This window comes from Homo sapiens, chromosome 8 (genome assembly GCF_000001405.40).
Source record: "Homo sapiens chromosome 8, GRCh38.p14 Primary Assembly".
Lineage (NCBI taxonomy): Eukaryota > Metazoa > Chordata > Mammalia > Primates > Hominidae > Homo > Homo sapiens.
In genome coordinates this window covers 130,107,768-130,130,594 of record NC_000008.11, presented here as the reverse complement: position 1 = coordinate 130,130,594, position 22,827 = coordinate 130,107,768, and the positions used below count along the sequence as shown (strand labels likewise).

Here is a 22,827-nt window from a genome sequence, read left to right as displayed (position 1 = left end):
ATACAATTATGCATTCTTTATGCTTTTGAGTATGCTTGTTACTTGAAAATAATTTAAAAGTTAATGTCACAAATGATCACTGTGAGTCTTGGTCCTTTTGAAATTTAGCCATTTCATTCCACCAAATTTGAATTATTTTCTCTAGAAAATTATCCTTTAAATATACTTTTTCTGATTATCATGACAAACTTCTTTATTTATTTGTCATGAGCTCCTGAGTAAAGAGGCAAATGGAAGGAACTCTGAAAAAGTGAGTCAACAAAAGTGTTTTCTTATCCCCATCTGGTCTGACAGAATCCAGCCTAGAACCTTAGGCAAGTCATATAACTTCAGTTTCCTCATCTATAAAGTATTATAAACCCTAACTTAGAGGCATGTGAGAAGATTCTACAGGTTGAGTATCCCTTATTTGAAATGCTTGGGCCCACAACTTTTTTGGATTTCAAATTTGGGGTGTTCAATCTATATGTTAAAAATTGTAAGTATTTGGTACATAGTAGATACTGGCCAATATTAGCCAAATGCTAGAATGCCTGAGGAAAGCGAAATAGAGGCTTTGCAGTCAAGTGAAAAATCCAGTAACATCAGTGCCGCTGATAAAATGCAGTAATCAGTCCTGTTGAACCCAGGTTCTTGATTTGTTTTTAACAAAACAATTTCTAGTTTCTAACTTCAGACTGATATAAAAAATACTGTTTTAATCTTCTAAAAGGTATAAAATCCCCCCATTCCTTCTGCATATGAATTCCTAGACTCTTGGTTTTGAAATGTTCAGTTTTCTGCATCACAGAAGTTAAGCTGTGTATATGCGTTTCTCCCAACATACTGAAGGTGAGCGCCACCTAGAGTCAAAGGTGTGACTTGCATAGTTCACATACTCCAAAAACATAATTTGGTTTTTAATTCTTATGCTGTCACTATTGCTTATTCAAAGTCTTTTGTATAGTGCTTTGTTTCATATCCATTTCATTCAACGATATACAAAAAAATGAGAGACTCAGTTCTGAACCTCTGTATTGTCTGTTGAGAATAAACATTAGCTGTCTATATAGTAACAAAAAATTAACACTGGTTTGGAAATGTTTTTTATTTTCTTTTTAGAAAATAAATTTGGCTTTTTTCTCATTCATGAAAGTAATACAAGTTCATTATAGTTTTGAAAAATTATAGAAAGGCACAAAGTCGGGCAATTCCTCTATCAGTTGTTTTCTATAGAAAATCACTCAGAGACAACCACTATTGACGTATTTGTGAAATTCCTTTTAGCCTTTATTACATACATATATTTAAATTTGGGATTATATCATTCTATTAGCCCGTTCTCACACTGCTATAAGGAAATACTGTAGACTGGGTAATTTATAAAGGAAAGAAGTTTAATTGACTCACAGTTCCACATGGCTGGGGAGGCCTCAGGAGACTTACAATTATGGTGGAAGGGCAGCAAACATGTCTTTCTTCACATGGCAGCAGGAGAGAGAAGTGTGTGGAGCAAAGAGGGAAGAGCCCCTTATAAAACCATCAGATCTCAACTCACTCACTATCATGAGAACAGCATGGGGGAAACCGCCACCTTGATCCAATCACCTCCTACACGGGTCTCTCCCCAGACACGTGGGGATTATGGGGATAACAATTCAAGATGAGATTTGGGTGAGGACACAAATCCAAACCATATCAATCATATAATAGGTTTTTTTGTTGTTGATTTCACAAAACACTATATTATGAGCATTTATCCAATGTCACCCAAAAATTATTTGAAAATGTACACTTTAATGCCTGCTTAACTGTTCTACTTTGTGGTTATTTCAGGCCTAGTTAATCAACTCTCTGTTGTTGGGTTTCTAGGTTATTTTAGTAGCAAAGGGTTATTTTGTTTGGGACATACAGTAGTCATACTGTATATAAGTAAATCTGCAGTCTTCATTTAATATTATAAATGTCATCATGTTTCCATGTTAATATGCCTTTTTCATAAGTATAAATTTTTATGGCTGCTAATGAAATATCCCTTCATTTTCACTGTTAAGTGTCCCCACTGACATGGACTTGCAGAAAATACATACCTTTTGCTAAACTCCTTTTCCTGGCTCCTCTCCATTTCTCATCATTTCTTTCTCATCCTTGCATTGGATGGGTCCCTCATTGAGTCCTCTCCATTCCAACATTCCCTTTATTCAGTATGCCCACACGGAAATGCAGTCTCCTTGTATATTCGTTCAAGTCCTCAGTTATATTGATTTTTTACTTTTCTCATCTGCTCCTCTCCTCTCTCTCATTTTCCCCTATGTGTCATTTTTCATTCTTTAACTCTCACCTTCCTTCAAGTTTGATTTCTTTGTTTTTCCTCACTTTATTGCTATTTTGGAAGGGGGCTTCTCTTTTGGAATTACTTGACAAAAGTAGATTTTTTTTTTTTGCAGTGGCAAAAAAAAAAAAAAAAAAAAAAAAATGACCATGCTCTTATAAAGACTTTTTTCCTCTTATGTTTTTACCAACAGATGGATATCAGTATTGACAAATAGCAAAGAAGAGGCCCTAACCATGGCCTTCCGTGGAGAGCAGAGTGCGGGAGAGAACAGCCTGGAAGACCTGACAAAAGCCATTATTGAGGATGTCCAGCGGCTCCCAGGGAATGACATTTGCTGCGATTGTGGCTCATCAGGTTTTTGTCCCCATATTTGAACGAGCTTTTACAACATCCTTTCTCTTCCTGTAGAATATAAAACGATCTAGTTATTGAAAAACCTTAACCCCTATGGACACACTCACATACACACACAAAACACGTATTCCCAACGTGATTTTTCCTACCGCTGAGCTGCTTTTACCTATGCTGTTTTCTCTACCTGGAAAGCCCCCTCTTGCTCTCCTAGGTGTCACTGCCAAAATACTACCTTTCCTATAAGGTCCAGGTATATAAGCACCATGGACATTATGGAGAGAGTAGGGGGCATGGGGTCCACATTTTGTATCACTGTCCACCACTCCCAGCCTGGACCATCTCACACTGAGTCCCTTTAGTATTCTGATTCGTAGTTTACTTATCCTAAAAAATGGGTCAGTAAACCTCTTGCTATGGCACGGTGGCTCACGCCTGTAATCCCAGCACTTTGGGAGGCTGAGGCGGGCGGATCACTTGAGGTCAGGAGTTCGAGACCAGCCTGGCCAACATGGTGAAACCCCATCTCTATTAAAAATACAAAAACTAGCTGGGCGAGGTGGCGGGCACCTGTAATCCCAGCTACTTGGGAGGATAAGGCAGAAGAATCATTTGAACCCAGGAGGCAGAGGTTGCAGTGAGCCAAGATTGCACCATTGCACTCTAGCCTGGGCGACAGAGCGAGACTGTCTCAAAAAAAAGAAAAAAGAAATGGTGCATGTGAAATCAACTGACATGTGGTACATGATTTTCCTTCCTTCCTACTCAGCCACACCTTCCCTCACCTCTGTATCACATTGAAGTCGCCTTCTCCCAAACTTTTATTTTCAAATAGCACTATATTACCAGTGTATTGGCAACAGCTAACACTGAGTGTTCCCGCTGTACTGAGAATCATGCTAGGTGTTTTGCTTATCTCAGTGAATCCTTGCAGAACCCCTGTGAGCAAGATCCCAATGTTCTCATTTTACAGATGAGGAAACTGGGACTCAGAGAGGTTGAATGACTTGCATAAGGTCACACAGCTAGTAGGAGTCAGAACAAGGATGCAAACCTGGTATTCTTAAGCACTGTGATATACCTTTTTTGCGGTTTTACTTGTGAAACTGGATTTTCTACACAAGAAGCCATAAGCACCTCAGAGAGAAGTCTCAGATTTTCTGCCATTATTGTGTACATGTATGATAGTGACACACGTAGTGTCAGGAAATGGCAAGCAGGTAGTAAAATCTCAAGCATTGACCAGTCAGGAAGAAGCTTGACCCAGAGAGAGAAACCTGAAGATTTGGCTAACATGGAAGTAATAGTTCCCATTGTTCTAGGGCCATTGGAGGTTGTAGAAAAAAGGCCTTAGGTCACTGAAAGAAACATTTGGTGTTCAATATTTACAGCTGTCTTATTACTAAGAAGTGCTCATGGGGAGGCCATGACCAAGAACTGTTGAGGTTAATGTTAGTTGCAACTTGGAGGTTAATGATGGCTATAGAATCCACTCCCCTGTGAGCAGTACTTAATAGACCTTCAGTCCATCACTGTCAGAGGTGATAGTGGCAGTGAGGGAACATCTCTCACAGGCCTAGAGGTGTTGCATAGGGTCTCTTAAGGAAAGCCTTTCTCACTTTTTCACAAGGATAAAGTGCTTAATTTTGTTTTCAGTTCAGTATCAAAGGGAAACTTTTATGGTAGCCCCTAGGCTAAACCTCAAGAGTCCATTTCTTCCATTTAAGTCTTTTCTTCATAGTTCTTAACAATTTGTACTACTGTTTTAGCTTCCTCTGTAGTTGGCACACTAAAATTAGATGTCTTTTTTGTTTCATTGTCTTCAACATTCTTTCCACAGAACCCACCTGGCTTTCAACCAACTTGGGTATTTTGACCTGTATAGAATGTTCTGGCATCCATAGGGAAATGGGGGTTCATATTTCTCGCATTCAGTCTTTGGAACTAGACAAATTAGGAACTTCTGAACTCTTGGTAAGTAGTGACCTGTACTTGGGAAGAATGATATTATTGTCATGAGTAATTTTAATATATTGTTTTGGATTTTTTTTGTATGTCTGCTGAGTACAAAGAATTATAATTCCTGAATTTTGTGAGTTTGCGTAGACGTTTAAAATGTAACTTTTGTGGTATGTAATGCTGACTTTCTATTTCCTGTTTGAAGAAAGGATGAATCATACATGTCTATAAGTAGCTCAGTGAAATTGGCTCTTTTCTTTTGGGATGGTCTTCTTCAAAACTACATTTTTCTTTATGAATTAGTTTTCATATAACTCGTGGAAATAGCAGTTAAACTCAAATGTTCACATTACCTCATGGCTTCTGTTGTAAATAATGACTAAAGAGTTTATCTCAATTTTTTTTTATTATTTCTAAGTTTGTAAAAGTACACATGAATTACAAGTGGCTTGTTAACTATTGTCATAAAACCAACTACTCTTGAACCCATAACTTCTTTAGGTAGTAAGGGAAGAAATTGTGAGAAGTTGTGGTGCTTAGCTTCTTAATCCAAAAAAGGGGTTATGTACACTTAAACTTGTTTTCCTTTAACCTCTGCCCTTCCCATCATGAGTCACCCAGATTTGGAGTTGTCATCAGGTCCAAATTGCTCCCCGAGATATACCAAAATACAGAAGGGGAGCCTACTTGGCATCCCCCAAGTAGGATGCCTACTGGACAAATGCCCCATTTTGCATAATTTTAACACCTGGTGCACTGTGAGAGAGTCTTTGTACTAAGAGTGAAATTTTTAAAATAAAGTATGACTTCTCAGACAGGAGGCTCACCCTTGAGCAGAACCTGAATGAACCTGGGCTCAAAAAAAAGCTGAAAGTCTAGCTTATCATTAGCCTTAACCAAAAAGGGCAGTTAGTGACCCAGCCAGCAGCCCTGGTCATCTGAGCGTTCACTAAGCAATCGTGATCTGTCTTGTGTTCTATGCACAATACAAGACATTCCTTCTAATTTAGAATGTAGGAAGTTACCATGCTGATACTCGGCTCCCTAGTTCACTTCAGGATTGTAGAGAAAAGACACAGACCTATTACCTGTAACACATTCTTTAGTGCAGAAATGATGTCCCTCATCTCCTTGACCTGTATTAATGAAACCCAGTTTGACAACAAGAAAGAGGAAAGTCCAAATCCTAAACGTTTGCCATGCAATAAACCCAAGACTTTTTCCCTCAAAGACATGGTTGCATGTATGTTTCTTAAACTTTGCATCCCAAAATTACATAAAATGATTAGAGGCCCTTCAGAACAAATTTTCTTAGAATGCTCTTGAACCCAGAAGCAAAATGGTTCCTGGGTCCTCTGCTGCCTGCAGCATCTTAATCTGTATCCAGATATAAAGTAATCCTGTGTCCTTTTCTGTCCTGGGAGTAAATTTGTTCAATATAAAAAGGAAACATGATGGTGGTTGATAAGCTATTGCTGTTTATTAAAAGTTTAACCTAGACTCACATATGGAGCCTGCTCTCTGTAATCTCATATAGTTTATATGTGTGTAGAACCAGATTCTGTTCTAGCATTTATCACATATTTGTAGACATGATTGATTTCCTTGTCAATGGCCCCACTAGACTATGAGCATCTATGGAAAGGGAACATAGTTTACCCATCTCTGTATTTCCAGCACTTAGTTTGGTGCTTGGCACGTAGTAGATGCTCAGTAAATATTTGTAGACCAGATGGACGGTGGTTTGTATTCTAAGTCAAATGAGGGAAAATACATATTCATAAATCTCAAAAACAAATAATAGGAGACTTTTAACTAGTAGCAAAGAGTTTGCTATATTGTGGTTGTTTGTTTTTTCTGTTACAGCTGGCCAAGAATGTAGGAAACAATAGTTTTAATGATATTATGGAAGCAAATTTACCCAGCCCCTCACCAAAACCCACCCCTTCAAGTGATATGTAAGTATTTCTGATATATTGAACTTTTTTAAACCATTCTATAATTGTTTTTCTACCCTTCCAAAAAACTTCTTTTTTTTTTTTTGGCTGGGTGCAGTGGCTCACGCCTGTAATCCCAGCACTTTGGGAGGCTGAGGCAAACGGATCACGAGGTCAGGAGATCAAGACCATCCTGGCTAACACGGTGAAACCCGTCTCTATTAAAAATTTTTTAAAAATTAGCCGGGCGTGGTGGCAGGCACTTTGTAGTCCCAGCTACTCGGGAGGCTGAGGCAGGAGAATGGCATGAACCCGGGAGGCGGAGCTTGCAGTGAGCCGAGATCGCACCCCTGCACTCCAGCCTGGGCAACAGTGCGAGACCCCATCTCAAAAATAAAAGAAAGTCTTTAGTTTTTTACAGTGTTTGTTTGTTTGTTTGTTTGTTTTCCAGAGCAAACCCCATTGTCAGGGGAAAGCAGAACAAAGAAAAGTATTTAGAAATGTATTTCCGGGATGCACAGATTCTTTTCACCCTCACCTTCCCCTAGGTTGTTGCAGCTGCGCACCTGCTCTGTGAAGCACAGATTGTCATGGGGGCAGTTCTCTCAAAAACATGGCATATTGTGATGAGTAAGAGACATTCAAAGACAATGGGAGATTCCTTTTAGCCTGGCAAAAATCCAAATGCTTAAAAACCCACTCAGCAAGACTGTGGGGAAACTGACATTCTGTCTCATAATATTGCCAGTGGGAGTACAAAATGGTACACTATGAAAAACAAATTAACCATATTTACCAAAATTATAAATGTACTTACCCTTTGACTCAGCAGTCCCACTCCTGGGAATTTATTCCTATTCTGTAATGCAAAAAGATTAGGAACAAAACAAGTATCCATCTGTAGGCATCTGATGAAATACTCTATGGTAGAGCCACACAACAGAACACTATGCAGATGGAAAAAAAAAGCACAAATTACACTGAAAAGGCTTTTCAAAAGTTAATTTGATTGTAAAACTACCATGAACAAATAAGACCTAAGTTTTACTTTACCAGCTTGATAACAGCAAGTGCTCAAGCACATACACAGTGCACTCTTGTCCACACCAGCATTTTTTAAATGTTTGCATGACCCAAACCTTGAAGGCACAGCTGCCAGATGAATGTCATAACAACATGGGTTTTTATGTCCTGTTTCTCATGTGGGAAGCAGCATCAGCGCCACCTGGTCAGCTTTGTGCCTCATCTAGTCATTTGGCCTCTGTAAGACTTTCACCTTCAAAATGTCTGTGATTCTCCAATATCTCTAATGTAGTGGTTAGGGTCATAGATTTTGAAGCCAGACTGCTGGAGTTCATATCATAGCTCTGCCACTTCCTAAACTATGTGACCTTGGACAAGTAACTTTAATTGTCTGTGCCTTAGTTTCCTCATCCAGAACATATATCTACCTCATAGGGTTGTGGTGACAATTAAGGGGCTTGAATAAAAAGTGCTTGGAGCAGCATTTGGTCTATAGTTAGTGCTGTATAAGTATCTGTTATTATTATTATTGGTCTGTAGTAAGTGCTGTATAAGTATTTACTACTACTACTATTATTACTTCCTTGTTTGGCCAGTGACCCAGAAGCATAAAGTGAACCTCTTGTAACATGCAGTTTGATCACTCATTTAGTTGTTGATCAAATCCTTACGAGGCAGCTTCCCTACTTCAGCCAGTCTTGTAGGTGCTGAAGATACAGTAGCAAACAAGACAGAGTTTCTGTCCTGCTTACATTCTGAGGAGATGAAAACACAGGGAATTAAAAAGTCAGTCATACAATTACACATTGTATTAGGTGTTATGAAGAAATTACAACAAGAGGAGGTGTTGAAGTGTGTGGGGAATGGGGAGAGGGTATTTTTTTCAAGTTGAAGGTGGGGAAAGTGCAGAATTGAGGGGCATGAAGGCACCCTCCCTGGGGGGAAGCAGCCAGGCAGCTGGAACAGGTCATATGGGTGCCCCAAGGGGCAGTAAGGCATATTTGAGCTATGTCATGAAGGAAGATGTGGCGGGAGAGAACTGAGCAAGAGGGAGATGCAGGGGAATGCTGGGCAAGATAGAGGTGGAGCCAGATCGTGTAGGTCATGGACTGCCTGGGGATTTGATTGTAAGTGTGATTGAGAGGTTTTAAACAGGAGTGGCGTGATCTGAGTTATTTTCTAAATTGATCGTATGTTCTTTTTTTTTTTTTTTTTTTTTTTTTTTTGAGATGGAATTTCACTCTCATAGCCTAGGCTGGAGTGCAGTGATGCGATCTTTGCTCACTGCAACCTCCACCTCCCGGGTTCAAGTGATTCTCCTGTCGCAGCCTCCCGAATAGCTGGGATTACAGGCATGCGCCACTATGCCCGACTAGTTTTTTGTATTTTTAGTAGAGAAGGAGTTTTCTCCATGTTGATCAGGCTGGTCTCAAACTCCCGACCTCAGGTGATTCACCCACCTCGGCCTCCCAGTGTGCTGGGATTACAGGCATGAGCCACTGCACCCAGCCTCTTAAACTGATCATATGATATTGGTTCTCAACCAAGGGTGACTTTGCCCCCAGAGGATACTTGGCAATGTCTGGAGATACTCAGTTGTCATGACTTGGACAGGTGCTACTGTCACCCAGTGGGTAGAGGTCAGGGATGGTGCTAAACATAGGACAGCTGTCAAGAGAAAAGAATGTACCCAGCCCCAAATGTCAGTAGGGCTGAGGTTGAGAAACCCAGCTGTAGCTGACGTGTGAAGGACAGACTGGCGGGGAGTGTGGCGGGGCCTGGGTGCCTATGAAAACAGACAGAGGAGAAGCTGTTAGAATAGATCCACTGAGCGCTGAAGGTAAACTGGACAAAGGTGGTAGCAATGAAGATAATGAAATGTGGTTGACTTCCCAATGTATTTTGAAGGGAGAGCCAACAGGATTTGCTGATCAGTTTTAATATGAGATGTTTAAGACTCAGTCAAGATGACACCCAAGGTTTTACATCTAGGTAAATAGATAGTAGCATTAACAAAAACGGAGCAGATAAAGAGAGGACTGGGTTTAAGGGGACAGAGGAGAAAAGTTGTCTTTATCAGCCATAGGACTAGAATTCTAGTGTCCAGATTTCCAGACAAATCTATTTTCCACTCTCCCTATTACTCCAGTGTCAGAAAACATTAAATTGCCAGGGGACTATGGGCTGAGTGCCCATAAAAAGTTGAAGGCATTGTGCCTAGTAAGAGGCCAGATACTTCCTATGGCCACAGAATTAGAGACCTAAGGGTAGAGGTGATTTTCAAGGTGATCATGTGATACCTGAGCACCCTCTGCATCATTGCTTCCAAATAATTGCGTGGCATCTGCATGATATTTCCAGTGACAGGAAGCCACCTGCAGACATTCCTGAAACGCAGATGAATGCATGGAAACAGTAATCTAAGATCTACCTCCCCGCAACTTTGCATCTTTAAGCCTAGTTCTGGCCTCCCGGATAATAATGGGAAGGAAGCTTTCAAATGAACCCCTAACATGTGCATCCCTCTTTGTTCCTTACCCATAATCTTGCTTCCTTGGAAGGCAGCTATGATTACTAATATTTTACAGGTAAAGAAACTGAGATTCAGTGAGAACTTGATTTACCCAGGGTCACATAGTTAGCACGTGGTCTCAGACTTGAATCGAGCGATTTAATTTTTAAGTCTGCTGCTCCATCCATCAACACAGTAGCTGCCTTTCACACTTTATATAAGACACATGCAGCAGAGGCCTCAGAAGCCAGGCTTGGGCCGTTCTTTTGGTTACTGGAAGTCCTCTAATTCATCAGGCTCTAGCCATCCTAAAAAGGACTTTGACCTAAGCATAAGGGACACACGTGAGCATAAGATTTTGGTTACTTAGTAGAATCAGTTGGTCTCTTCTCAACTGCACAGGGTTGAGAAAAGACCAGAGGCTGTGTGCCATCATCAACCAGCTCAACTGTTTTTACTGCCAACCCAAAATGAAAGAAAAAGGTACCAGCACAGTGTTAAACTGTGTTGCCTGACTGTGGGCTGTTGGAAACAGTAGCAGCTTCCACAGGTGGAATGCATATTTTTGAGCAAGAAAGTTTATGTCCTTTGTGTTAGAGCCCTCTCAGAAGGAAGAAAACACTTCTTAGGCACTGTACATCCTTTAATTCAAAATATACCAATGTCTTATCCCCATTTTCAGATTAAAAAAAAAAAACTGAAGCTCATGACGATTAAGCAGTTTACTATGGTCACACAGCTGGGGTGCTGTAGAACTAAAAGATTTAATCCAAAGTTCATTTACTGTCTTTATTAATTAGCTCATGTAACTGGGAAATTCAAGGGGTGGATTCAGGTACAGCTGGATCCAGGCTGTCAGACAGCATCACGTGGACCCTAGCTCTCTTTCCTTGACTCCTACCTCTCCTTTCCTCTGAGCTGACTTCCATTTTAGTCTTTCCCCAGAGGTGGCCAAGGTGACCATTGGGCCACTTAGGTCATTTACTCACCCCTGTGGCTGGGAGGTGAGCTCAGTCCCACCAGAAACACTTGAACGGAAGTAAAGAAGGCAATTCCTCAAGAAAAGGAAAAAGTACTACACCCTTTCAGACTTTGGGCATGTTATCCATGTGGTCTCCTGCTCCCATACTGAACCTGTGCAGGAAAGACAGCTCATCTTCACCCCTTTGGAGCTCAATGCCTGGCCTGGGGGAGTTGCTTCAGTGACAGCCTTTCTGAGCCTTAGTTTCCTCACCTATAAAATAGAGAGTTATGGCCGGGTACAGGCCGGCTCACACCTGTAATCCCAACTCTTTGGGAGGCCAAGGCAGGAGAATTGCTTGAGCTCAGGAGTTCAAGACCAGCCTGGGCAACATAGCGAGACCCGATCCTTTTAAAAATTTTACAAAATAAATAAAAAATAGAGAGTTATATCAGACGACCAAAATCCTTTCCGTGAAGCTCTGAAAACTTTTAATTGGTCTTTCAGAATGTGTTTAACTTCTTAAATTTTTAAATTTATTCATATGCTTATATATCAGAGTTTGAAGTATTTATAAATAGTTGATTTCTCATGCTGTTGGTCAAGGTGAAAAAGAAATCTGTGATTTATGTGCCCGTTTACTTTGTAACTATATCTATTACTTGTATATATTAGTAAACATATATTATTTTCTTTATTCTGTCTCTGTTGGAGTAATTTGGTCTAAAACCTGGTTTATTTGAATGGTGAAAAGAAGCGTATCTTAATTAAAATAACTTCTCAAAGAGAAATGTTTGTCAGAAAAATGTAAACCTTTCCTAGCACTTGGAAAATAAAAATTCTTTATTTTGTTCTGTTTTAGGACTGTACGAAAAGAATATATCACTGCAAAGTATGTAGATCATAGGTTTTCAAGGAAGACCTGTTCAACTTCATCAGCTAAACTAAATGAATTGCTTGAGGCCATCAAATCCAGGGATTTACTTGCACTAATTCAAGTCTATGCAGAAGGGGTAGAGCTAATGGAACCACTGCTGGAACCTGGGCAGGTAAGGCCTCACTAAAATCATTGGATAAAAAGTAATGTGGAAAATCAGTTTAAAAGGTGACTTATTTTAACATTATACCATATAATGAGATTCTTATACATTGGGTGGCCATGTCTAAATCAAGAGAATATGAGAGTGAAGAGGTGTGCTCCTTATAATTACTTGGGGGCAACTGATATATATGAAGCCTCCCTTGGCAGAGCATATTATTGACTTACTTATACTTTTCTTTCCCTTTTTAGGAGCTTGGGGAGACAGCCCTTCACCTTGCCGTCCGAACTGCAGATCAGACATCTCTCCATTTGGTTGACTTCCTTGTACAAAACTGGTATCGTTTTTGTTTTCTCTGTTGAATTACCTGAATATGCCTTATAAATTAACACAAACCAGTCCTATCAGTGGCCTAGATCGGGAATTGGCAAGCTTTTTCTGTGTCATGCTAGATATAAAAATTATTTTTGGCTTTGCAGGCATGAAGTCTCTCTGTCAGAGCTATTCACTTCTGCCATGGTAGTGTGAAAGCAGCCACTGACAATGTGTAAACAAGCAAGTGTGGCTGTATTCCAATGAAACTTTATTATTTTGTTTATAAAAACAGACAGTGAACCAGATATGGCCTACAGGCTGTAGTTTGCCATCTCTTGGCCTTTATAAATGTAAAATTATGTCTGTATCCAAAAATCTGCTGCACAGATTGGACACATTTGCTAACCGTTAGGAGAGGTTAAAAGAGAGAAGACTTAACAGCACAGGTCAACCATATTTGTGAGTTTTCATTGTTCCTAAATTTAATATAAGACAGCAGCAGTGTGTGTGGCTGGATCAATAGCTCATTCAAGTTTGGGATATACTGATGGAAGTATAAGAGTGAATATAGGAAGTTTGGACTTGCTGGATTCTTTATTCTCTTTATCTGTTCTGTAAGCAACAGATGATGAGGAGGAACTAGAGCTCATCTAAAGAAGAAGATCAAAATAGTGAGGGGATTTGAACCCATAGAGGAAAAATGGTACATAGACACAAGCCAAATTGTATAAAAGTCCAGGTTTCTTCCTCAGAGACAATATAGCATAGTGGCTCAAAACATTGGCTCCAGAGATAGATTACCTGTGTTCAAATATCCCTGCTTCACCATCCCTATCTTGAAAATCTTGAAAGCAAGCACTTCAGCCTCTCTGCGCTTCAGGGTTTTTTATCTGTAAAAGCGGTTATTATTAGTATTTACCCCATCATATAGTTGTAAAGATTCAATGAACTAATACATGTAAATGTTAAGAAACAGTGTCTGTCCCATAGGACCTGGCACTCTAAATAAATACTGCCTGTTATCACTGTATTGCTTATAAATCTAGGTTAGAAACATCATAATTTTCTCTATTATAATAATTAGGTCTCAAATTTGACTCAGTTGTCAGCACAAAAATAAGTGGCTAATCTATAGTTTTAAGTTATAAAGTAAGTCATTTTTTTCTAATCATCATCTAATTTTTCAGTGGGAACCTGGATAAGCAGACGGCCCTGGGAAACACAGTTCTACACTACTGTAGTATGTACAGTAAACCTGAGTGTTTGAAGCTTTTGCTCAGGAGCAAGCCCACTGTGGATATAGGTAAGAGTGTGTCTAGTGTCTTCATGACTGTAGTAAGCGTGTGTTGCATGGTACATTGTAATTTGATTATTGTTCCTTGCCTTCTTAAGGTGTTTCCTAGATAATTATGCAAATTAATTTTTTTCCTATTTCAGTTAACCAGGCTGGAGAAACTGCCCTAGACATAGCAAAGAGACTAAAAGCTACCCAGTGTGAAGATCTGGTAAGCAAAAATGGACGTGGGAGATTTATTAGACATTGGCTGCCTTAAAAGTGTCATTCTGAGAAGCTAGAATTGAATATTAAAAATGCAGATTCATTTTTTTTTAACACTTGCTAAAGAAAATCAGATGAGCAATGTGCTACATTAGAAAAAGTGGTAAAATGATAAATTTGTCATCCACATGTTTTTGGAATGCAGTTAAAGGAGGTGAAAGGCATTACACAAGTATTATTACCAGATCGACTTGTGCATTGAGGTCATGCTTTTTATTTCCCAGACCATTAGACTTTCTCTGCAGCTTAATAGTAAAGAATTATTTGAGAAGCTGCTCCAAAAATTGGGCAAGTAAAGCTCAGAGAGTAGTGGTCTTCAAAATGTTAACACACTGTTCTCCCAGCCCCTCCCCTTCCTGTGCACATTCACCTTTTTTGACCCTACTAGTTCTTGCTTAGCAAGTCAGGGCCTTCACATTAGTGTGATTCTCTTGAGTTTCTGCTAAGTGCCAGGTTCCAGGCCCACCAGTTGGGCCTTTTTATTCTTAAAAGAATCCTTTGAGACAATTATCCCTGCTCCCATTTTATGAATGAGAAAATGGGGCCACAGATTGGACTGGGACCTTAAAAGCCTACGTCTTAAACTTCAAAGACTCGTTTTGCCTTTCAGCCAGGAATTTGCAAGTTTGAGGCCCATTTAATAAGAAGAAAGCTTTTAATTTTGGAGACAAGTCATCAAAATAAAGAAGGCTCTGCCTGCAATTGTTTGCATTTCTTCTTGAGCCTGTCACATAGCAGTGCAGCTTGTCTAAGCAGAGTGTTGCCTATAGTACACCTACAGATGATTCATTGAAAACTAGGAATAAGGTGGGATTTGCTCAGTGTTTGTATAATATTGGGATGTTTCAGCATTTAAATTAAAATGGTGCACATTTGCTGTTCCTTCCAGCTTTCCCAGGCTAAATCTGGAAAGTTCAATCCACACGTCCACGTAGAATATGAGTGGAATCTTCGACAGGAGGAGATAGATGAGAGCGATGATGATCTGGATGACAAAGTGAGTGTAAATTATGTCCTCGAATTCTCAACAACTACCCCAACTTTTCTAGTCTGTGTAGACAAGATCCATTTTTGGTGAGATTGATTGATTGTGGTTTTATGATCCAATGTATCAGGGCCATTTATGTTGTTCAGTCCTTATTGGGCACCATTTAACAGCTATATTAAGGTTGTCCAGAGAAACAGAGCCAACAGGATAGGGAGAGAGACAGAGAAATTTTTTTTAAGGAATTGGCTCACATGATTGAAGGAGCTGTCAAGTTCAAAATGCACAGGGCAGGCCAGCAGGCTGGAAATCCCAGCAGGAGTTAATGTTGCAGTCTTCAGGCTAAAGACAGTCTGGAGGCAGCATTCCTTACCCTTTGGGGGACCTCAGTCTTTTTAAGGCCTTTCTTTGGCTGATTAGGTGAGGCACACCCACATCATGAAGGGTAGTTCCCTTGACTCGAAATCTACTCATTTAAATGGTAATTGCATCTAAAAAATTCCTTTACAGCAACATCTAGACTAGTATTTGACCAAACACCAGGACACTGTAGCCTGTTGACACATAAAATTAACCATGAAGCTAGGCATGGTGGCTCATGCCTATAATCCCAGCGCTTTGGGAGGCCAAGGCAGAACTATCGCTTGAGACCAGGAATTCGAGAGCAACCTAAGCAAAATGGTGAGACCCTGTCTCTACAAAGTAAATGGATCAATCAATAAAACGTGGTGGTGCTATTTGACAAGCTGAGGCAGGAGGATTGCTTGAGCCCAGGAGTTTGAGGCTGCAGTGAGCTATGATTGTACTACTGCACTCTTGACCTGAATGACAGAGCAAGACCCTATATCTTAAAAAAAAAAAAAAAAAAAATTAACCTTCAAAACAAGTAATTAGTAAGTAAATAACAGTTGTTATTTATTGAACATAATCATGCACTGTATAATAACATTTCAGTCCACAACACACTGCATACTCAATGGGGATCAATATAAGATTAAAACGGAGCTGAAAAATAGCCATCACCTAGTGATGCCATAGATGTCATAATACGGTAGTGCAACACATTCCTCAAATGGTTGTGGGATGCTGGTATAAACCAACCTACTGCACTGAGTTGTATAAAAATGTACAGTAATGTCCTAGGCCTTCACTCACACCCAGAGCAGCTTCCAGTCCTTCCAGCTCCATTTATGGAAAGTGTCCTACATAGATGTACCATTTTTTAATCTTATATAACATGTTTTTATTTTACCTCTTCTATGTTTAGATACACAAGTAATTACCATTGTGTTACAGTTGTTTACAATGTTTAGTATAGTAGCATGCTGTACAGGTTTGTAGCCTGGGAGCAATAGGCTATACCATATAGCCTAGGTGTGTAGTAGGCTCTCCCATCTAGGTTTGTGTAAGTATACTCTATGATGTTCGCACAAGAACGAAATCACCTAACACATTTCTCAGAATGTATGCCTGTCATTAAGGAATGATGTTCATTAAATATGGATTAGACAGATTTAAGCACTTACGTTATCTCAGATCATCTTTATTGAAAGTCCATAACTGAGTGCTGTGGCTCACACCTGTAATCCCAGCACTTTGGGAGGGTGAGACGGGTGGATGCCTTGAGCCCAGAAGCTTGAGACCAGCCTGGGCAACATGGCGAAACCCTCTCTCTACAAAAAATACAAAAATTAGCTGGCCGTGGTGGTGTGCGCCTGTGGTCCCAGCTGCCCGGGAGGCAGAGGTGGGAGAATCACCTGAGCCCAGGAACTCAAGGCTGTGATGAGCCAAGATTGTCCCATTGCACTCCAGCCTGGGTGTGGGTGTCTGAGTGAGACCCTGTCTCAGAGGAAAAAAAAAAAAAAGTACATAAGGGACATTGTTATCCCCATTTTACAGAAGAGAAAACTTACAAAGAGAATTTAGCAACTTGTCTAAAGTCTCCCAGCTAGTAAAGACAGTTTGGAGGATTAAACCCAGTTCTCACTGAGTTTTCCTTATAAGCAGTTAACTACCTCTGAAAGTTCATTCATGCATTAATTGATTGCCTATGTATTGGACATTTCCTGTATCACAGGCAGGATGTAAGGAATGGCCAAAGAGGTCCTCAAGCCTTAACAACTTTAAGAGGAAATAAATTATAATACAATGTGATAATCATTATAAGAGTATGGAAAAATTCCTGAGAGCTATTCAGAGGACCAAGCAGCTGCCTCAGTCTGCCTTCTCAAGGACATTGGAGATGGGTTTCTAAGGATAGGTGGAAGCTTGCCAGGGAAAGAAGTGGGGTGGAATGCATCATTCCAGAACACCACGTGCCAAGGGAAGGAGTCATGGTAGAGTCTGGATGTCGGAGGAATGGAGAGAAGCACTGTGTGTGAGATGCATTCACCTGGCTGGGTGGGGAGAGGCAGGCAGCTGCCTTGTAGAGTCAGGCAAACCAGATCAGGATGGCTTTGTGGGCAAGGTTTGGCCTTTGGGTTTTTGTGCAAGCAGTCAGAAGCCCACAGAGGTTTATTGTCTAAAGAGCAAGGTTTCCCACCAGCTCTGGCTGCAGTGTGGAGAATGGACTGGAGGAAGGAAACTGGAGAAGGGGCCATTCTGGAGGCTAGAGCTGCAGTGGGAGCTGGTGAGCACCTGTACTAGGAGGGGCTTCAAGGGATATTTCCAAGGGGAATGCAGGAACCAGGGACTCCAGGTGACACTGAGGTTTCTAACCTGGGCAGTTGAGTGGATCCTAATGCCATCACCACAAGCGCAAATACCAGAGATACCTCATGGGCCATTGGTTTGGAACACAAGTCACTGGGGTTGTATTTACAGATCTGTAAGTAATTATTGTGTAGCGGGCAGTGGGTGTGAATCCGTTTACTTTGCAGGGGGATATAAAATGAGAAAAGAGGCAAAGAAAGAACTTCAACGTTAAAGGGTTGAGCAGGGAACAAAACTTAATGTAGCAAATTAGAAATAGGTGGAAATACTATTCAAATGTTGCTGAAAAAGTCCTGCATTCTGAAGGTGTTTGCTTATTAAAAGTTAAATCTACCTGTGACCTTACTGTGCTTCTGACACTGCTGCTGATCCTAACCAGTGTTTCACTAGTGTGATTATTCATAGTGGTGAACGATATGAAAGTGTGGTATCTAGATCCTTCCCTTGTACTGTGTCAGCATCATGAGGCTCATTGTGGCTGACCTCATAAAGCTCAGAGAGCCACAGGAACCCAGATTCCCACCTGAGCCCGCCCTGCGGAGGCCCTCTGTACACATGAAGGGTGGTCCTTGATTATTATCTCACCTTCTTATTTCATCTGCCAGCCAAGCCCTATCAAGAAAGAGCGCTCACCCAGACCTCAGAGCTTCTGCCACTCCTCCAGCATCTCCCCCCAGGACAAGCTGGCACTGCCAGGATTCAGCACTCCAAGGGACAAACAGCGGCTCTCCTATGGAGCCTTCACCAACCAGATCTTCGTTTCCACAAGCACAGACTCGCCCACATCACCAACCACGGAGGCTCCCCCTCTGCCTCCTAGGAACGCCGGGAAAGGTATGGGCTTTGAGAAGGGCTTGTGACTCCATCCTCGAAGGGCTTGTGACTCCATCCTCAGAGCTGATAGTCTAGCCAGCTTTGAGGTAAGAATTGCAAGGTACATTTGAGTGGCGCGGATCGTGTTGTCAGGAGCAGCTTGAAATAGGGACCATGCCATTTGCCAGGTACCAAGAGCAGGACAGGCAGTGCTGTGGGCTCTCTTTGTGCATTATTTGTGTTAACCTTACAACAATCCTGTGAAGTATGTGCTTTTGTGCCCATTTTACAGAAGAGGAAACTAAGGCTCAATGAGATACACTGACCAGCCCAAGGTCACACCACTGGTAAGAGGTAAAGTTGAGATTCAATCTGAGGTCCACGTGGCTCCAGAACCTGTACTTTTTATAATGTGGAGTGGAGTTTCAGTTCTCTGGAAAGTTACTTTTCTCTACATTAAAATGCCACTCTTTTGAAGACGCTAGTAATAATAGTGGTAGTTAATAGTTATGGAGCACTTGCCTTATGAGAGGCTCTACGCCTAGTACTTCTTTTGTAATCATCTCAAAATGAGGTAGGTGCTATTATGCAGTTACTGGCATCATGTGAATTAGGGGATTTGTTCAGAGATACTGAGTAATTGGCCTGTAGTTCTCAGCCTGGGATTCTAACCCAGGTTCTGTGTGACCAAAGCCCATTCTCTTGTACTCTCTAATAAGGAACATTTTTCCAGAGACAGTACTTGGAGAGGAATTTTTTTTTTCCCTTGAGACAGGCCTTTCTCAGTCGCCTCCATCTCCGGGGCTCAAGTGATCCTGATCCTCCCACCTCAGCCTTCCAAGTAGCTGGAACCACAGGTGTGTGGCACCATGCCCAGCTTTTTTTTTTTTTTTTTTTTTTTTTTGGTAGAGATGAGGTCTTGCTATGTTGCCCAGGCTGGTCTTGAATTCCTGTACTCAACTGATCCTCCCACCTTGACCCCTCAAGGTGCTGGGACTACAGGCTTGAGCCACTGCGCCCAGACGAGGAATCCCGCTCATAGGAGGGTTGTTGTGCTGTGAGTTGTCAAATGTCTCACAGGGCTGGCGCCTCAGGCTACCATTAAAGTGTTGCCTCAGCCAGTAGGGATAATTGAGAGGTACCCAGAGCTATAGCTTCAAGTTTGGTCTTTGCCAGTGAATCCAAATGCAGGGTTCTCCCTGTGTGCTCAGCTCGTGCTCCCACAGGTTTCATGGCTTCTCGCTACACAATGCCATGCCTATTTGAATCACACTAGGGCTATTTTCTGGGAAATGTGAGCTTTATTCAAAACAGTGTTTTTTCAGAGCTTATTCTCTATTGAAATAGTGTTATAAATGGGAGCTGTGTTCTTAGAGAGACCCCAAATGGCCTCATAGATCATAAAGTAATAGAGAAAAGTTAAAATAACGCTTTGGCATGAACAGCTATCCTCAAAGATAACCAGTGGCCACACAGTAATAGTGCATGTAAGCCAAAGGTCTAACCCACCAGTGTTTTCTTACCATTCCATACATTGTACTAAAATGTATGTTTTTAAATCACTCACATATCAAGCTGCAGGTCTGTAGTGTAAGAATGCTGTGTTGCTGCTTCCCTGTGGGTAATGGCATTCCCCATCAGGGTAGCAGTCTGACAGAGAGCAGAGATTCTCTTTCTGCACCCTACAGAGGACTGTGAGAAGCCTCCAGACTGAATACAATAATGGAAAAAGTGACTGAAAGATTTCACATCTCCTGAGTGTGGTTACCAACATAGCAGTGGGGACCTATCTAGACAGGCACAGCCTATGCCTGTTCAGAGAGCCTCTAGGTCATTGAGAGTCCTGAAAATGGTTTATAGGAGAAAATGACACCAGAGTCCTGGGGGCCAAGAGACCCCCTCATTTCCCTCCACCCCCTTCTGTAATTTTATCTCAAGGGGGACAACAGAAACCCATAATATATACTGTCTGACTTTGTGCCAGGCATATCTCTCATGTCTTGAATAAATTCTAACTAGCTCTTTACCAAAGACCCAGAAGACAAAGACTAAATTTATTTAGTGTTCCAGCTGCTGAAACAAGTGTTTGAGACTTGGCCACAGCAACCGTGGTCATCTAAGGATACAGTACTTTCCCCACTTCCCCCAAAAAAAGCCCATAATTGAAAATAGAAATCCTCCCTACAAAAACCAAGAGTGTTCTTCATGGCTGTTCACAGCAGGACATCAAATTCAGAGATTTGGCCTGTCTGCTGGTGAGACATAGGGAGTACAGCCTTCTCATGACTTTTATAAGGGATTTGAAGTGTGCGATATCCCATAGCTAGCTCAGCTCACATGCGCTTACATTTGGAAAACTGATAATGTTTAGAATGGAGCTCTTAGAAGACATTGTTAAAGATCAGCTGATACTCTGTGTGCAGAGATAATTCTTCTCTGTTTTTTTGGCCCCTATGTTTTTTTTCATTTCCTTCTGTTGAGCTGATAGAACCATTTGCATGAAAACAAGGATGCCTTGGATCTCTCATTTGAGTTCCTTGTTCTCCATGACAAATAAAGCAGAGGTCTCTATTTGCAGCAGAAGTCATTTCCTCAACTGAATTTAGGGGTCTGAAGGACCCCTAAATTAAGTCTTCCAGTGAGACAGAAACAGACACTTGAGATAAAGTCCCCACAAAAGCGAAGAGGAGAAAGAATTATTCTGAATCTAGCTGAGAATATTTTCAAGAAACTCCAGCTGCCTCATCGAAATTCAAGGAAGCTTGACCTAAATTACCGTCAAGCAAAGCCCCCTTGTGCTTACAAGTGAGCAGTGCCCCAGAGTCTCAGAGGAGCTCAGTAGCTCAGAATCCCAAAATCACTATCCTCAAGCCCCATACCGAAACACTTCGCTGCCTAACCCCTCTTCAGATGTGGGGTCCCGAGAGACTAAATCAAAGCTGTAAAATTAATTTGTGTGTGGTAGTTTCTCGTTTGTGATCAGTAGCTTCCCCCTGCCCCCACCCCACTTCTACTGTACGTTTATTAACACTGGTTCTTGGACCGGGTGCGGTGGCTTACGCCTATAATCCCAACACTTTGGGAGACCGAGGTGGCCGGATCACCTGACGTCGGGAGTTCGAGACCACCCTGACCAACATGGAGAAACCCCGTCTCTACTAAAAATACAAAATGAGCCGGGCGTAGTGGCGCCTGCCTGTAATCCCAGCTACTCGGGAGGCTGAGGCAGGAGAATCGCTTGAACCTGGGAGGCGGAGGTTGTGGTGAGCCGAGATTGTGCCATTGCACTCCAGCCTGGGCAACAAGAGTGAAACTCCATCTCAAAAAAAAAAAAAAAAAAAAAAAAAAAAAAAAAAACTGGTTTTTGAGGCTTGCCAAGATTAGTTTCTTTTTAACCTTTGATTAAGATTAATTAAAATAATATCACAGAACCTAGGTTTATTTACTGCCACCATGCCCAGCTAATTTTTGTATTTTTAGTAGGGACAGGGTTTCACCACATTGGCCAGGCTGGTCACGAACTCCTGACCTCAGGTAGTCCACCTGCCTCGGCCTCCCAAAGTGCCAAGATTACAGGCGTGAGCCACCACACCCGGCCAAGCCTGTTAAATTAACAAATGCTCTGGATAATGAGACCGGGCACTTGGTAGGCATCTTAACTCAAAGATAGGATGTGTTAAGTAAAAGAATGATAATTCCAATCTCAAGAACCTTCTTTAACATGCTTAAAAGAACTAACCTTTTAAGCGTTTAGAAAGGTGAACACCTGATATGCTAATTACAGTTCATTCCCATCTATTCCTGAAGCCAGGCCTCTAGAATCAGGCATTATATAGCCCTTCTCAATAGCATGTGAATACCTGTAAGTATTAATTCTTCATTTCATACACATTTGCTATAATGTAGACTTCCTACCTTAGAGAGGCTCTGGCTTGGAACTAATAAACTAGCAGATAACCTGCACGAAAGTAGCGTGCTGTGTGGCATACTGAGAGCGTCAATAGATGCTTGTTGTTGAAGGGTTGGTGCCACAGAGAAAATTGAACCAGATGCTACCCTTGCCAACAGGTAGGTGAAGAGACTAACTACTCTCATTAATCAAAGTATATGCAGTAGTTTGAGAGTAACAAACTAAGGCAGATCAGTCTGTGTCAAGCCAGACCATGGCTGCCTAGACAGCTGTGAACTCCTGAGAAGCCTTTCCAGCATCACCTTCTCCTCTTCCAAGAAGCCTTCTTTTCCGTGCCACACAAAAGAGACTATGGTGGTCGGGCGTGGTGTCTCATGCCTGTAATCCCAGCACTGTGGGAGGCCAAGGCAGGCAGATCACCTGAGGTCAGGAGTTCG

The 22,827-nt window shown here is 41.4% G+C and overlaps 1 protein-coding gene across 24 annotated transcripts in view; it reads left to right on the top strand.

Moving 5' to 3' along the window:
- Positions 1 to 22,827, top strand: part of ASAP1 (ArfGAP with SH3 domain, ankyrin repeat and PH domain 1) — a 391,571-nt gene that overhangs the window by 313,080 nt on the left and 55,664 nt on the right. For 23 of the 24 annotated variants that reach the window (XM_047421810.1, XM_047421806.1, XM_017013468.2 and 20 more), the window contains 9 exons: positions 2,505 to 2,668; positions 4,506 to 4,639; positions 6,491 to 6,582; positions 11,920 to 12,106; positions 12,349 to 12,434; positions 13,600 to 13,715; positions 13,850 to 13,917; positions 14,860 to 14,967; positions 18,273 to 18,501. In XM_047421810.1, coding sequence (XP_047277766.1) covers positions 2,505 to 2,668; positions 4,506 to 4,639; positions 6,491 to 6,582; positions 11,920 to 12,106; positions 12,349 to 12,434; positions 13,600 to 13,715; positions 13,850 to 13,917; positions 14,860 to 14,967; positions 18,273 to 18,501 — 1,184 coding nt within the window. Of the gene's footprint in view, positions 1 to 2,504; positions 2,669 to 4,505; positions 4,640 to 6,490; positions 6,583 to 11,919; positions 12,107 to 12,348; positions 12,435 to 13,599; positions 13,716 to 13,849; positions 13,918 to 14,580; positions 14,782 to 14,859; positions 14,968 to 18,272; positions 18,502 to 22,827 lie in introns of those variants that run through there. The other variant, XM_047421812.1, reaches the window with a different exon arrangement.